At 46.7% G+C, this 16346-nt stretch overlaps 1 protein-coding gene across 1 annotated transcript in view, besides 1 other annotated feature; it reads right to left on the bottom strand.

Moving 5' to 3' along the window:
* CNDP1 (carnosine dipeptidase 1) overlaps nucleotides 1–16346 on the bottom strand; it is a 52713-nt gene that overhangs the window by 33338 nt on the left and 3029 nt on the right. The window lies entirely within an intron of this gene.
* Nucleotides 12492–12992: an enhancer, noted in NCBI's record as "H3K4me1 hESC enhancer chr18:72208118-72208618 (GRCh37/hg19 assembly coordinates)". NCBI's record gives its function as "activates a minimal SCP1, AML or CMV promoter by ChIP-STARR-seq in primed H9 embryonic stem cells {active_cell/tissue: H9 hESC(primed)}" and the evidence as "EXISTENCE:reporter gene assay evidence [ECO:0000049][PMID:30033119]".

Genomic DNA, 16346 nt, shown 5'->3' with positions numbered 1-16346 from the left:
GTGGGGATGGTCAACAGCAGCATCTTGGAGGAAACTGGTGCTGAACACTGATGGGAAGGAAGGGTAAGCTTGGAGAAGGGCAGGCATTCAGGGCAGAAGTTTTAACCTCTGGAAGTTTCCTCATTTTGAAGTAGGAGAATGTATCAAAACGTTCTAATAAGGGTCTGAATTTTGCTGGATAATAATCGAGAGGAAATTGTGAAGTTTAAGAATAGTTATAAATATTCTGGAGAGTGAACTGGCTTAAGGACACACATACATATCAATTGGATAGAACCGAAAATCCAGAAATAAATCCTCACATTTATGATCAACTGATTTTCATCGAGGGTGCGGAGATCATTCAATGGGGGAAAACAGTCTTTTCAATAAATAGTGCTGGCAGAATAGGATATCCACAAGCAAATGATAAAGTTTCACCCCCTTCCTCACACCATATATAAGAACTAACCCAAAATGATCAAAGACCTAAATGAAAGTACTAAAACCATACAACTCTTAAAAAAAAATAGCTGTAAATCTTCCTACCTTTGGATGAGGTGATGGTTTCTTAGATATGACACCAAAAGACAGGATCGATAAATTGGACTTCATCAAAAATAAAAACATTTGTGCACCAAAGAACACCATCAAGAAAATGAAAAGACAACACGTAGAATGTGGGGGGAGGGATTGCAAATCATATATCTGATAAAGGACTTATGTTGAGACTATAAATGACAATTACAGTTCAATAATAAAAGACAGCCCAATTAAAAATGTGCAAAGGATTTGAATAAACATTTCCTCAAAGAAAATATGCAAATGGCCAATAAACACATGGAAAGTTTAGGCTCAGCATGATTAGCCATCAGGAAAACACAAATCAAACTACATGAGACACAACTTCCTACCCTCTATGATGGCTAGAATTAAAAAGCCAGACACTAATGAGTTTTGACAAAGATGTAGAGAAATTGGAAACTTCATGTACTGCTGATGGGAACGCAAAAGCCTACAGCCACTGTGGAAAACAGTCGGAAAGTTCCTTGATCAATTAAACATAGAGTCACCATATGACCCAGCAATTCTATTCCTGAGTACATATCCAAGACAAGTGAAAACATATGTTCACACAAAAACTGGTAAGTGGATGTTTATAGCGGCATTATTCATAGTAGCCAAAAGGCAGAAACAAGACAAATGTTCATTAATGAATGAATGGATAAATAAAATGTGGTATATTTCACTGAAATATTATTTGGCTATACAAAATGATTTTTATCTTACATAAAAAGGAATGAAGTACTGGTACATGCTACAGTGTAGACAAACTTTGAACACATTGTGCTAAGTGAAATAAACCAGACACAACGGCCATGTATTGTGATTCCATTTACGTAACAGTCTAGAGTAGGTAACTTCATAGAGACAGAAAGTAGATTGGTGGTTACCCAGTGGGAAAATAGGAAGGGAGTGCTAATGAATTTGGGGTGATGAAAATGTTATAAAACCAATTGTGGCAATGGTTGTACAATTCTGAATAAACTAAAAGCCATTAAAATTACACACTTTAAATGGGCCAGTTGTAAGGTATAAGAATTATATCACAATACAGTCATTTTAAAAATAATCATAGCTATAACTACTCATTTGACAATACAAATATATTATTGAATATGAGAACTGTAGATAGAGGAAGCTATACAGTGGTTAAAAGCAAGGTCAAGGTAAGAACTGCGTCCAGTAGGTGGTGCTGATGAGCCACTCATGAACTCCCTGGCTACCCTGCACTCAGAAGGCTGAAGCCAGATCCAGCCCAGCTCTGTGGGACTTAGCCAGGAGCCAGGGGCGGCAGATGAAGCCAGTGGGAGAGACTCCTCTGGCCCTCCAGTAGCCGGAGAGGGAGCTCAGGTGTGAGGAAGGCTTCAATAAAGGCTCTTGGAGACAACAGTGGCTACTGGTTTTTTTTTTGTTTTTTTTTTTCGCAATCGATCCAATTGATCCATCTACATTAACATTTGAGCTTTTATTTTTCCTTCAGACAAGTTCCATTAAAAAAATTATTTGGTGTTCCTCTACAGTGAAAAATAAAAAAGGACAGTTGGAAGAAGGAAATAAGCTGCAGGAAAAAAATATGAAAACAATGATTGTTGTTAGGAGAGAATAGTTCAGATTCAGCAGGAATCTCCTCCTCCTCTGGCCTGGGGAGAGCAGCTTAGCCCTGGTCTCGAATAAAAGACTGACCTGATGCCCTGACCTGACAGTGGCCCTGACAGCAGGGGTCTGACAAGGGGAAGTGCACGACTTCATCTTCCCTCCCTTAATGAATTTCCTCCTCTCCCTCCCTTTTCCCCACAGAGCAGGGCAGCCTGCTATAGTCAATTTGCTGTCCAGGTTCATGGACATTGACTTTGGACATGAATCCCGCCTTCACCATCTGAGTGGGATCTGAGACTCCATCCATTTTTCTCCTGTTCCTCCATGCCTCTGTTTTTGTTTGTGTGTGTGTGTGTGTGTGTGTGTGTGTGTGTTACAGTTGTGCTTGACCTTGAACTAGTTATCTGTATTAGGCTATTCTTGTATTGCTATAAAGAAATGCCTGTGGTGGGGTAATTTATTAAAAAAAAATAGGGTTAATTGGCTCACAGTTCTGCAGGCTGTACAGGAAGCATGGTGCCAGCATCAGCTCACCTTGTGAGGAGGTCTCAAGGAACTTTTACTCATGGCAGAAGGTGAAGCAGGAACAGGCAGGTCATGTGGCCAGAGCAGGCGCAAGAGGGATCGGGGAGGTGCCACACACTTTAAACAACCAGTCTTGCATAAACTCACTATTGCAAGGACAGCACCTAAATACCTCCCGCCAGACTCCACCTCCAACATTGAGGATTACATTTCGACATGAGAGTTAGGCGGGGACACGTATCCAAACTGTATCATTCTGTCACTGGCCCCTCAAATCTCATGTCTTTCTCACATTGCAAAATACAATAATGGGCTGGGCATGGTGGCTCACGTCTGTAATCCCAGCACTTTGGGAGGCTGAAGCAGGAGGATCATGAGGTCAGGAGATCGAGACCATCCTGGCTAACATGGTGAAACCCCGTCTCTACTAAAAATACAAAACAAAAAACAAAAAACAAAAAAAAAAAATAGTCGGGCGTGGTGGCAGGTGCCTGTAGTCCCAGCTACTTGAGAGGCTGAGGCAAGAGAATGGCATGAACCCAGGAGGCAGAGCTTGTAGTGAGCCGAGATCACACCACTGCACTCCAGCCTGGGTGACAGAGCAAGACTGTCTCAAAAAAAAAAAAAAAAATTCAATAATGCCTTTCCAATAGTCCCCCAGCCTTCACTCATTCCAGCATTAGCTCCAAACTCCCAAGTCCAAAATCTCATCTGGAGATGAGTTCCTCTCACCTATGAGCCTGTAAAATCAAAACAAGTTATTTACTTCCAAGATACAATCAGGGTAGAGGCATTGGGTAAATGTTCCCACTCCAAAAGGGAGAAATCAGTCAAAAGAAAGGGGCTCCAGTCCCCATGCAAGTGTAAAACCCAGCAGAGTGTCATTAAATCTTAAAGCTCCAAAATAATCTCCTTTGACTCCATGTCCCACATCCAGGGCACTTTGCTGCAAGGGGTGGGCTCCCAAGGCCTTGGGAAGCTCCACCGCTATGGCTTTTCCAAGGTTAGGATGTAAGCTGCCAGTGGATCTACCATTCTGGGGTCTGGAGAATGATGGCCCCCTTCTCACAGCTTCATTAGGTAGTGCCCCAGTGGGGACCCTATGTGGGGACTCCAACCCCATAGTTTCCTTTTGACCTGTCCTAGTAGAGGCTCTCTGTGAGGGCTCCACCCCTCCACCTCTAGGTTCTTTCTAGGCACTGAGGCTTTCTCATACATTCTCTGAAATCTAGGTAGAGGCTGGCAAGCCTCCCTTACTCTTGCACTCTGTGTGTCTGTAGGCTTAACACCATGTGGAAGCTGCCAAGGCTTACAGCTTGCATGTTCTGAAGCAGTGGCCTGAGCTGTATCTGGGGCCCTTTGAGCCACAACTGGAGCCTTCTGAGGCTGTACAGAGCAGTGCTGTCCCAGGTCTGGCCCATGGAACCATTTAGTCCTCCTAGGCCTCTGGGCCTGTGGTGAGAGGGGCTTCCTCAAAGGTCTCTGAAATGCCATCAAGACCTTGTTCTCATTTTTTTTGGCTTTTAACACTTGGCTACCTTTTAGTCACGCAAGTCTCTCTAGCAAGTGGTTGCTCTGCAACCTGTTCAAATTCCTCTCCTGGTAATGATTTTTCTTTCTCTGCCACATGGCCAGGCTGAAAATTTCCCAAACTTTATGCTCTGCTTTCCTTTTAATCTTTTTCCCATTTAGAAAAAAAAAAAGTGCAGCTCACTGCCAGTGCTCATTTAATTTTATATAAACTCACTCTTTGAGGCTGAAGCAAATCTGACTGATTTTCAATGTGAAAATAAAATATAAAAACTGTTCGGGGAGTTCTTTCTAAACAGAACTAACATCAGAATCATCAGAACATCTATTTCAGATTCATTAAATGAATCTTTGACCCACAATTGTTCAAGAACAATGTTAACATCACGTGTAGGAATGCTACGTTTTCTAGGATTTGACATTTTCAGCAGTTGAAAATTACTACATTTTGTTAATGGAAATACCACTAACTAAAACCAGAATGCCATAAATAGAATGATGTCTGTTGTTTCCAAAGTCAATATACTAGAGTGATGTGAAAATAATAATAAAAGCAAGATAGTTCATGGCAAAGTTATCTCAGGGTAAATGCTGCAGCCACAAGTGCCACTGGTGAGTATTCTTGGGGCAACCAGGAAAAGGGTTAAATATAAATTCCAACTTTAAGTCATTTCTTTACTTCCACACCTGAACATAAGTTGTTAGAAGCAGCCAGGTCACATCTTGAACACTGCTACTTAGAAATTTCTTCTGCCAGATACCCTAAGTCATCACTCTTAAGTTCAAATTCCACAGATCCTTAGGGCATGAACACAATGCAGCCAAGCTCTTTGCTAAGGCATAACATGGGTGAGCTTTGCTCCAGTTCCCAATCAGTTTTTCCATCTGAGACCACATCAGCCTGGACTTCACTGCACACATCACTATCAGCAGTTTGGTCACAACCATTAACCAGTCTCTAAGAAGTTGCAAACTTTCCCTCATCTTCCTGTTTTCTTCTGAGCTCTCCAAACTCTTCCAACCTCTGTCTGTTACTGAGTTCCGAAGTTGCCTCCACATTTTCAGGTATCTTTATAGCGATGCCCCACTCCTCAGTACCACTTTTCTGTGTTAGGCTGTTCTTGCAGTGCTATAAAGGAATACCTGAGGCTGAGTAGTTTATAAAGAAAAGAGGTGTAATTGGCTCATGGTTCTGAAGGCTGTATAAGCATGGTGCCGGCATCTGCTCAGCTTCTGGGGAGGCCTCAAGGAGCTTTTACCCATGGTGTAAGGTGAAGAGAGAGCAGGCTCCTCACATGGCAAGAATGTGAGCAAGAGCAGGAAGCACCACACACTTTTAAACAACCAGATCTTGCAAGAATTCACTCACTATTGTGAGGACAGCACCAAGCCAGGAGGGACCCACTCCCATGACCCAAACACCTCCCACCAAGCCCCAACTCCAACATTGGGGATCACATCTCAACATGAGATTTGGCAGGGACACAGATCCAAACTCTCATCACCCATTGAAAATCTAGGGATGTCGAAAGGTTATTCCTGGCTTTTGACCTTGCAAAAAGAAGAAAGAGGAGCTGAAGAACAGGAAGTTGCGCTTGCGGGGGCTGGGGTTAGGGATGCGCAGGGTGAGTCCTGGACTGAGAGAGTCTTTTCGGCGGGGGTAGGCGGTTGCCCAGCTGAGGGTGGTAAGCTCCCACTGGCTATGGGACCCTGAGGGGAACCCCACTTGCTGCATAGGCCTGTGTTTATTCCAGGTGGTTATTCTTAGATTTTTAGATTTGGAACAAAAGTTCCAAGTGCCCCTGTGCTGAGTCTTTTCTCTAAATACTGTAACTCTTAGCGGGAGGTTTACATCCTCTGCTGTGTTACCATCACAACCTGTCCTTCCCCCGAAGCGAGAGGTCCTGGGGCACTTCCTGAGTCTTCTTAGTGTCTTGACATCTTGTTCTCCTCTTTCTCCTCCCACAGCTGCCTGAGCTTCCAGCAGACACTGGCACTGGCTTCGCCTCCACCTCCCTCCTAGCTCTTGCTAACAACTGGAGAGTTGCATGCCCTGTGGGCTTAGCTGATGGAGGTCTTGACAGTGGCCTGGGATACTTTAATGAAGGACACTTCTGTCTCCTGCCAGGAAAGGAGCAGGCATCCCTAAAGGAGGATGGAGCAGGGGTGCTGTGGGAAAACCCCACTTCTGCACTGGTTGTTTTTGTTTATTTTGGGTGTTGAACAGAAGAAAGAATAGAAAATGAAAGAAAGCACTCTTGCCTCCACCCCCCACAAAGCCTCAGGCCAAGGGTGGGTCCTTGGTGTCCATACAATGGCCAATCAGCCAGACCCTTGTTCAGGGGAAGAAACCTCAGTGACCGTCAGTCATCCTGGAAGCCGAGAATTCTATTGCCCTCCTAGTCTAGAGTCCTTGTGGGATTGTTTTATAGAGGTTGCTCTGTGCTGGGTCTGCTCTGATGAATTTGTTATAACACAGAAAAGAATGTTTTATTAGCCTAGCTTATCTCACCATCACAGGATTTTAAACAAACAACAAAAATGGGTTTTTCTGGATTCTGTTGATTTCCTGTAGGCACGGAGCTGAGCCAACGTGGCTCCTGCAGATTGATTAACTCACTGTGGCGGCAAGTCCCCATGGAGGAGTCAGCAAGGGCGTGGTTTCCTTCAGCCAGCATCCTGGAGAAACTCCAGGGAGCAAAATTCCCCAGAAAGTCTCAAGAACTGTGAGTCCCTCCATCATCCTCTAGTCCAGCCTAACCTGTGAGCTTGACCCTGGAGAAGAACAATGCCTGAGGCCAAGTTCAGCTTAGACTCATTCCCAGAATGTGAGGCCACACACCACGTGAAATGGCTGGAAATACTAACAAAGTTTACCCAGTTCGCTAGGATCCTAACAGAGCTGCTCCTTGAACGCTGAGCAGAGCTGCAAGAAGTCAGAGACTGCCGAAGCCAGGGGATGGAGGAGGAATTGAGGAATTGAGTGCCAGTCACGGGGTGGGTGTTTCCGTGGTTTGCAGGGAGAGCTGGCCTAGAGCTCAGGCACTAGCACTTAGGAACTGGCTGGCTCAGGACACAGGCTCTGAAGCAGGGACAGTGGGACCTACTATGTGCCCTCAGGGGGGTGGCACGAGAGAATACGGCATGTGGCACCTACCAAGCACCTTAAGGGGGGTGGCACGAGACAGTACCGCATCTGGCACGTCACAGCCCAAGGCACTGTACAGCGTCTTCTCTCCTGGGCAGAAGACAGCTAGTCCAGCAACCAAGCCGCTAGGGTGGGCCCTCGGTGCTCCCACCTGTGTCTGGGGTCCTCGTGGGTAGGCGGTGGGGAAGAGAAAGCTCGCAGTGTCAGGGTATGAGGCTGGTGTGATGGTAACGGGAACAATGCGCCTTCAGACACTTTTACTCCCCACAGTCTGGACAGGGATCTGAGCCTCGCCAGACATCAGCCAGAGAGACAGCACAGCACCACTTTGCACTACTTCCGGAACCTTCCATCATCTAGAAACGTAACAGTGGCTTGTAGCACAATGACAGAGCCAGTCAAACAACAATGACCAAAAAGAGTGAATGAAATAACCAGTGATTTCAGTTATTTCTCCAACAGGCCAGAATCTCGTGACAGTTAAATCGATACATTGAAGTATACTCTACCAGGGACAGTGGTGTCATCAGACAAGGCTGGGCTTTGAGTTCCTCGGAGGCAAAAGCGTGTTTCCAATGGGGAAACAGGGCATGGCTCTCGGTTTTGAGGGGTGAGAGGTGTAAATCCTAAGGGATCCATGAGGCTGTGCCTGACGCTGGAGCCAAAACCCAAGGCGAACATTCTCCTTTGGAGATATCGTAGCTGTGGCCACACCAGAGCCACTGGCTCTTCTTCCTTTAAATCTCATTTGAGTGATTTTTGTGTAAAAGTGTCGATAGGATATTTACAGAATACCTGCAGGGGAGACTGTACAATCTCAGGGGGCAGCACGTGAAATTAAGATGTTCCGGCCGCAGAACAGCAGAGAGGAGGAGGAGGGTCGGAGGGAGTGGGGAGTTGAGAGAGACGTGGACTGGGGACAGAGGAGGGGTGGCGAGGAGGAGAGCAGAGATTTCTCACGGAGTCAGGAGAGGAGAGCCTGGCAGGGTTTTGGTGGGACCGTGGGCCAAGGTGGAGACACCAAAATGCAGACAGCACCAAATAACACGTTTCTTTTCTAGAAACCTGTAATTACGTACACAGCCTTTAAAGTGTCATCTTACACATTCAGCTCACAGCAAAATTACTTTGACTTCAAAGTGCCAGGCTTTAGGCGTCCTTGGTGCCTGTGAACCAAGGTCCCCGGTTAAAGGCGGGGGTGGACTCCAGGGCTTGGCCACCTCTGGCGATGGCATCTCAGGCCACCTTTTGGCTTTGAACAAAAGTCCAACAAATGTAAAGTCGAGAACAAGGCAGATTCGAGGAGAGGGCGGGGCTTTCCCATCGGTCTCCACTAGCTTCCTCAGGCTGCTGGAACAAAGCATCCCAAACCGGGGGCCAAACACCAGGACTTTATTCTCCCACAGTTTTAGAGGCCAGAAACCTAAATCACGTGTTGGCAGGGCTGGGCTCCGTCTGCAGGCTCTAGGGGAGGGTCCTTCCTGCCCCTCCAGCTTCTGGTGTTGGCAGCAGTCCTTTGCTGTGACTGTGTCCTTCCAGTCTCTGCCTCCGTGTGTGCACAGCCAGCCTCTTTCTGTGTCTCTCTGTGTACTCTCATCTTAGGAGGACACTGAGTTTTGGATTTAGGGCCCACTCTACTCCAGAGTGACCTCTTTTTAACTAATTACATCTGTAAAAACCCTGTTTCCAAATAAGGCCACGTTCTGAGGTTCCAGGTGGACAGGCATTTTTGAAGGAATGTTATTTAACCCAGTACACCCTGTTATTATTTTCTTACCACTATATAATATCCTTTTTTTTTTTTTTTTTTTTTTTGAGACAGAACCTCGCTCTGCTGCCAAGCTGGAGTGCAGTGACATGATCTTGGTTCACTGCAACCTCCACCTCCCGGGTTCAAGTGATTTTTCTTGCCTCAGCCTCCCAAGTAGCTGGGATTACAGGCATCTGCCAGCATGCCCAGCTAAGTTTTTGAATTTTTAGTAGAGATGGGGTTTCACCATGTTGGCCTGGCTGGTCTCGAACTCCTGACCTCAGGTGATCCACCTGCTTCGGCCTCCCAAAGTGCTGGGATTACAGGCATGAGTCACCGTGCCCGGCCTTCTTATCACTATATAACATTCTATTATTTGTTTACTTATTAATTATCTGTCTGGCTCTCATGACATAAGCTCCATGGGGGCCAGGACTTTGTTTCTCTTCTTTCCATAGCCCCAAGAGCCTATGTACTGTCTATCATAGAATAAGATGCCAATGCACATTTATTTTTACGTATTTATTTTTTGAGACAGAGTCTCCCTCTGTTGCCCAGGCTGGAGTGTAGTGGCATAATCACTGCTCACTGCAAACTCAAACTCTTAGTGTCAAGTGATTCTTCTGTCTGTGCCTCCTGAGTGGCTGGGACTACAGGTGTGCAACACCAAGCCGGCTTATTTTTTAAGCTTTTTGTAGAGACAGGGTCTTGCTATGTTGCCCAGGCTAGAGTGCAGTGGGGTGATCATAGCTCACTGCAGCCTGGATCTCCCAGGCTCAAGCCACCCTCCTGCCTCAGCCTCCTGAGAAGCTGGGACTAAAGGTACAAGCCACCATACGTGGACTGATTTTTAAATTTTTTTTAGAGATGGGGACCCACTATGTTGCCCAGGCTGGTCTGGAACTCCTGAGCTCAACTGATCCTCTTTCTTTGGCCTCCCAAAATGCTAGTATTACAGGTGTGAGCCATAGTGCCTGGCCTCATTTCCTCTGTTTTCTTCTAGAACTCCTACTACATTGGAGTCTTTCGATCTATCATATATCCTCCAGATCTCTTAGTTTTTCCCTTTTTTTCTTGTTATCTCTCTGCTCTGATTCCTGGGCATATTCTCTGTAATATTTTTCAGTTCATTAATTCTCACTTTGACTGTGCCCAGTCTAGAATTTTTACTGTTCAGTTATTTCAATAACTAGTTACATTTTCAGGATGTCTAATTGGTTGATTTTAATACCCATCTGTTTTTATTTTATTTTATTTTATTTTATTTTATTTTGTTTTGTTTTATTTTTTGAGACAGGATCTCACTCTGTTGCCCAGGCTGGAGTACAGTGGTGTGATCATCGTTCACTGCTGCCTCAACCTCCTGGGTTCAAGTGATTGTCCCACCTCAGCCTCTTAAGTAGCTGGGACTACAGGTGCATGCCACCACATCCAGCTACTTTTTGTATTTTTTGTAGAAACAGGGGGGTCTCACCATATTGCCCAGGCTGGTCTCAAACTCCTGGGTTCAAGTGATCTGCCTGCCTCGTCCTCCCAAAGTGATGGGATTACAGGCATGAGCCACCACACCCGGCCCCTGTCTGCTCCTGATTCATAGATACCTGCTTACGTTTTGTATTTTCTCATTCTTTAATATGGGTGTTAGTCTTTCATTTGTCTCTTGAAGAATTTAAACATACTTCGTTTGCATCCATTTTAAACATGTTCTACTCTTTGTATGTCAGTCTTGGTAAACCCATTTCCTAACACATTGCAAAAGCTATTTTTCTTAAGGCATGTCTTTCTTACATACTTCAGAACTTTGGCTTGCAGCCTCAACTTGAATGACAGTCATTTTATTCTCCTTCTCTGTTATGAGTTCTGCCTAAAATGCAATGGTTGCCTCCACCTGGTGCTTTAAGATGCCCATTCCAGGTCGAGGTCTTAAACTGGTGGCTTACAGTTCTCAAACAGTGTTCTAGTGGCACACACCTGTAATCCCAGCATTTTGGGAAGCCAAGGTAGGAGGCCCACTTGAGCCCAGGAGTTCAAGACCAGCCTGGGCAACACAGAAACTCTGTCTCTACATAAGCGAAATCAGATTTTAAAACTTAGCCAGGCCAGGTGGTGCATACCTATAGTCCCAGCAACTCAGGAGGTTTGAGGTGGGAGGATCACAGAGTGAGATCTTGTCTCAAAAACAAAAAAACAAACAAAATCCTGAAGTATATGCAATTGCTTTGCTTGAAGTGGATGGGGAGTTTTAAGGGTGAACTCATACTGTGTCTTGATCGGGACTGCCCTACAATGATTTCACTTCCTGGGACGTAATGTCCCTACAGCCTGGCCCAGTGCCAGGCTCAGTGCTGGGAACGCTACCTGGTGCAAACTTTCCCAAACTGGAGGAGAGCAAGATTCGGGTGAAGATAAAAAGGGTCCACTTAAAAGCCCACAAGCTCTGTTCAGTGCACCTTAAAAGGCATAAATGTTTGTATCCTGGATAACCTCAACCTCCAGGAATTGGCTAATAATGACTAATAAATTAGGCCTTGACACCAGGAGCTCAACAAGCAAACCTCACCCTGTCAGCAGGGACAAGGCTTCTGGGATGGCCCCAGGGCAGTGCTCCTGCGCACACCTCTGGCCTGCAGTACAAGGTACAGAGTTGGGTAACAAGACCGCCCCAGGCAAACTGTGAAACTGAAACATGCAAACGCGTTTCTCCCTGAGCGCCATGCACTCTGGGATCCCAGGGCACTGGAGCTAGTCCTAGAAGGCACAGGGGACCCCTCCTCATCTGCAGTCTTTGGGGAGTTCCATCTGTGCGTGCCTTGTCTTAGCACTGTTTCTCTCCCTTTCACAATGCGCCCCATTCCTTCTGAGGTCAGCAGGGGACAGCACCCCAACTTTATGTCCTGTGGCGCCGGAAGCTGAGCCACGTGTACCATGAAAGGTACCTTTGTCCCAACCACAGTGCTTCTGAAGAAGTGGGGGATTGTAACCGCTTGAAAGAGCAATTGAGAATTGGAACACTGGGGCATTGTGGGGCCTGAGGAGAGGTGCTCTGGGGACAGAAAGCCCCTACCTCCTGATTAGGGCTGGGACGAAGGGGCTGGGGAGGACCTCAGGGCTCAGGTCCCCTGCTCCAGCCTTGCTGCTGCCTGCCCTGTGATGGTGAGACCAACAATGCAACAGACCACCCAGGCTCCCTCCCATAAACCAACCGCATGTGCATATTTCCTCCTGGGCAGGAGCTCTGCACTGGGATCAGTAGGATGGTGGCTGGACCCACCCACCCCTTCTCCTTCTGTGACTCCTCCAGGAGCTGGCTCTCAGCTCCAGCCAACAAATGCCACCCACCCTCCAGATACCATCAGCTCCTGAACCTGCCAGGGTCCCGAGCCAGCAGAGTGGCAGTCACCAGGGCAGCATCTCTCTCTGGTGAGCCGCAGATGACAACCTGCTGAGAAGCTAGGACAGCTGCCCTAGACAGTGCACGCTCAGGGGAGGATCCGATCACTGTGCCTTTCCTGGCAGCTCCTGTGGCAGCTAAACGGTGCCTCTGCACACCTGCCGTCTCCTTCCCCAGGTGCGTCAGCAGAGCCCATGACCGAGGCTGCACTCACTGTGAGCCCCCAGCGGGTGATGGCTCCCAACTGCAGCCCCATTTCCCCCTCCACTTTCAGAACCTACAAGTTTCCGGTGTGAACCACAGAAAAGTGTGTTCCAGTGCCCAACAACTCGCAGGCCTCTCCCAGAACGCCGCTAGTGGGTGTCTGGAACTAGCATTTAATGTCTATAGCAGTCTGTGCTAAACCACCCGTGATACAAGAAAATCGGCATCACTTCATTAGAAGCCAGATCTGAAATTTGATGTTTGCAGCATTCCTCAGATTCTAGTGCTGGAGTGAGTTAGGGATTCCACACATCATGTGATTTGTTGATTAACAGAAGTGGTGACCATCTGCAGTAAGTTCACGTTTACATTTTTATTGCGTCTTCACATGCATGGAGGGCAGGCACTGAGCCGAGCACTCATGGCCACAACGTCGCCAATCACCCTGAAAATCCAGTAAGGCAGAGCTACTGTAGCTGCATTTCACAGACAAGTGACCTGAAGCACTAGAGGGGTCAAGAGACTGCCTGGGATCACACAGCCAGGATGAGTAGGTTACACCCCCACACATCTAAACACGGCTCTCCTTTCTGGACTTGCCCTCCAATCCTCACTGAGGTTCCCCAAGAGAGCTGTTGCCATTCCCTCTTATGTCACATACAGGGGGCCAGGCTGAGGCAGGGTGCCCATTCCAGGCACTCAAGGTCAGATCAGAAATTCAGGGCAGAGTTCAGACGTGGTGGCTCACACCTGTAATCCCAACACCTTGGGAGGATGAGGCGGGTGGATCACCTGAGGTCAGGAGTTTGAGACCAGCCTGGCCAACATGGTGAAACCCCTGCCTCTATTAAAATATACAAAAATTAGTTGGGTGTGGCAGTGGGCACCTGCAATCCCAGCTAAAAGGGAGTCTGAGGCAGAAGAATCGCTTGAACCCAGGAAGCGGAGGTTGCAGTGAGCTGAGATCGCGCCATTGCACTCTAGCCTGGGCAACAGAGCCAGACTCCGTCTCAAAAAAAAAAAAAAAAAAGATTTATACCACACAAATGTAAAGTGTAGATCCTATTTAGATTCTGATTCGAAAGACCAGTGGTAAAACTATTTTTATGGGACAATATGATAAAGTTGACCACAGGTTGTAGGTTGTATATTTGTTGATCTAAAGGAATTATTGCTATTTTATAGTGTGTTAATGGTATTGTTGATATACACACATGTGCTCACCTTCAAGATATGTGCTGAACAACCTACAGATGCAATAATGCAATGTCTGGAATTTGCTGTAGGATTATCTGGATGCTGAGAGTGGGGGTCCTGGGAGGGGCTCTCTTGAAACAAGATGGGCCACATGTTGGTAATTGTTGGAACTGGCTGATAGGCACATGGGGACTCACTATCCTCTTCTGTCTATGTTTGTGCATGTTTGAAACTTTCCATTAAAACGAGAGAGCAGGGTTAGGGGCAGGCTGAGCCTTGGCAAGCAGGCAGTGTCCTGGGCCAACCTGAGCTCATGGCCACCGCGCTTGCAATAACGCCACTGATCCCAGGAACCACTTGCTGCTCAGGAGCAGGTGGTGGTGCTTGGGGGCCCATGTGCACCAACAACACTAACAAGGAGTTTGGTCGGAGGAATCCTGCAGGTGGGGAAACTCCCTGGCTGTGGATGAGCAGTGCTGGCCAAGGAAGGATCCGAATGCCTCATGCGCAGGATAGCTCCCTCCGGCATTTGCTGGCACTGGGGATGAGAGATGAGGAAGCCTCCGGGAGCTGGGAAAGAGCCCACCTGGCAGTCCTGCATCCTCAGACCCTTCGTGAGACAGTGTGCAGGAGAAGTGGATGGCGGAAAATTAGCACGTGCCTACTTAGAAATCCAGGCTCTGGGAAAAGCCTGCATCCTTCCGTCGTAAGTTGGGAGTCTATTAATATAAAGAACTAAAAGCTGGTGGGAACAAACAGGTGTAGATCTCCTTAGTCAAATCCCTGCTGATAGGGAAGGCTTTTTTTTTTTTGAGATGAGGGAGAAACCTTGTTGTAGGAAGACAGTGTTTGCAGCGAATGTCCATGTATTTTCCGGCCATAATCTCTCCCTGTTTAGCTTTAACAGGCTGCTTGAGAGAGAATGCCAGCTCCTATCTTGTGCAAACCAACAGCAGAATTGATTAATTAGAAATAAGCTGAACCCTAGATTCAATAAGAACTGGGCTTAGGTTCAGAACCTTGGAGCAAGAGATACACCCTGGAAGAGCCAAGAAAAATCTAGGGAGACTTTTTATACTCGAAGTTGAAAATGTTGTCAAAGGCGACAGGTTCTCTGTCAGAATCCCTTGACGGGGATGAGGTGGAGGGTCATGGTTAAAATGGTAGATCTTTTGGCCAAGAAGTGAATGAAAAAATGTTCAGTATCATTAGGCATTGGGAAATGCAGATCAAACCACAACCAGACACCACTTCCCACCCAGAGGATGCCGGGAATCACAAAGTCAGATAACAAGTGTTTTGAGGATGTGGAGAAATTGGAGCCCTCACACACTGCTAGTGAGGATGCAAAATGGTGCAGCCAGCATGGAAAGCAGTCTGGCAGTTCCTCAGACACTGATCCACGGAGCTACTGTATCAACCGGCAATTCCACTCCCAGGTACACACCCTGGAGGAATGAAAATACATGTCCACACAAAAACTGGGACACAAATGTTTATAGCAGCATTATTCATAACAGCCGAATGGTGGAAACAACCCACATGTCCACCAACAAACAAATGGATAAATACAAAATGTGGCATATTCACACAATGGAGTATTATTTGGCCATGAAAAGGAATGCAGTCCTGATATATGCTATGACATGAATGGACCTTGAAAACATTACATTAAGTGAAAGAAGCCAGTCACAAGAGGCTGCATATTGTATACCATTCATATGAAAGTCCAGAATAGGGAAATCTACAGAGACAGAAAACAGGTTAGTAGTTGTTTAAGGATAAGGTGAGGGAGGGGCGAATAGGAGGGTCATAGCTAAAGGGTATGGGTTTCTTTCTGAGGTGAGGAAAATGTTCTAAAATTGATGGTGGTGATGGTTGCACATGTCAGTGAATATACTAAAAGCCACTGAATGATGGCTTGAAAGTGCAGATTCCTGGGCCTCTACCCTAAAACTGCTCACACTAAAGTTTGAGAGAAAACAAAACAAAACAAAAACCTGAGTATGGGATTTAGTGAAAAAGGCAGTAAATTGTACATGGATGGGTAACTTCTCACCTTCGTCTAAATTGTACTTTGTCTTTTGTCTTCAGCAGCTAGAAGTTCTACTCTATGGTTTTAACAAGAATGCCGCTTTATGTGGAAAGAAACAAGGAGTGTGGACAAAGTGTAGTGATATATGACCTGGTTCATTCCCCCCAGAGGAGCTTCCTGGTCCCAGAGTCCATATCCCAGGTACCACTCTTTGCCCGGAGTGACTGGGCCTGGGCACTAGAGCACAGAGGAGGCACATCACACATGCTCACTGCATGTGCCCCATCCAAAGGGTGAGTGCCCACAGCACAGAGCCCCCTCTGCATCCTGTGGTCCAGCTCCCCAAACCTCATCCAGTCCCCCTGGGCCACAGCCAGGGATCCACCCTAGCTGTTGATGGGCATTTGATCTGTGTCACAGTAAAAGA

This window comes from Homo sapiens, chromosome 18, assembly GCF_000001405.40.
Source record: "Homo sapiens chromosome 18, GRCh38.p14 Primary Assembly".
Taxonomy (NCBI): domain Eukaryota; kingdom Metazoa; phylum Chordata; class Mammalia; order Primates; family Hominidae; genus Homo; species Homo sapiens.
Note: the sequence above shows the minus strand (reverse complement) of the source record. Positions and strands in the feature narration are given on the sequence as shown.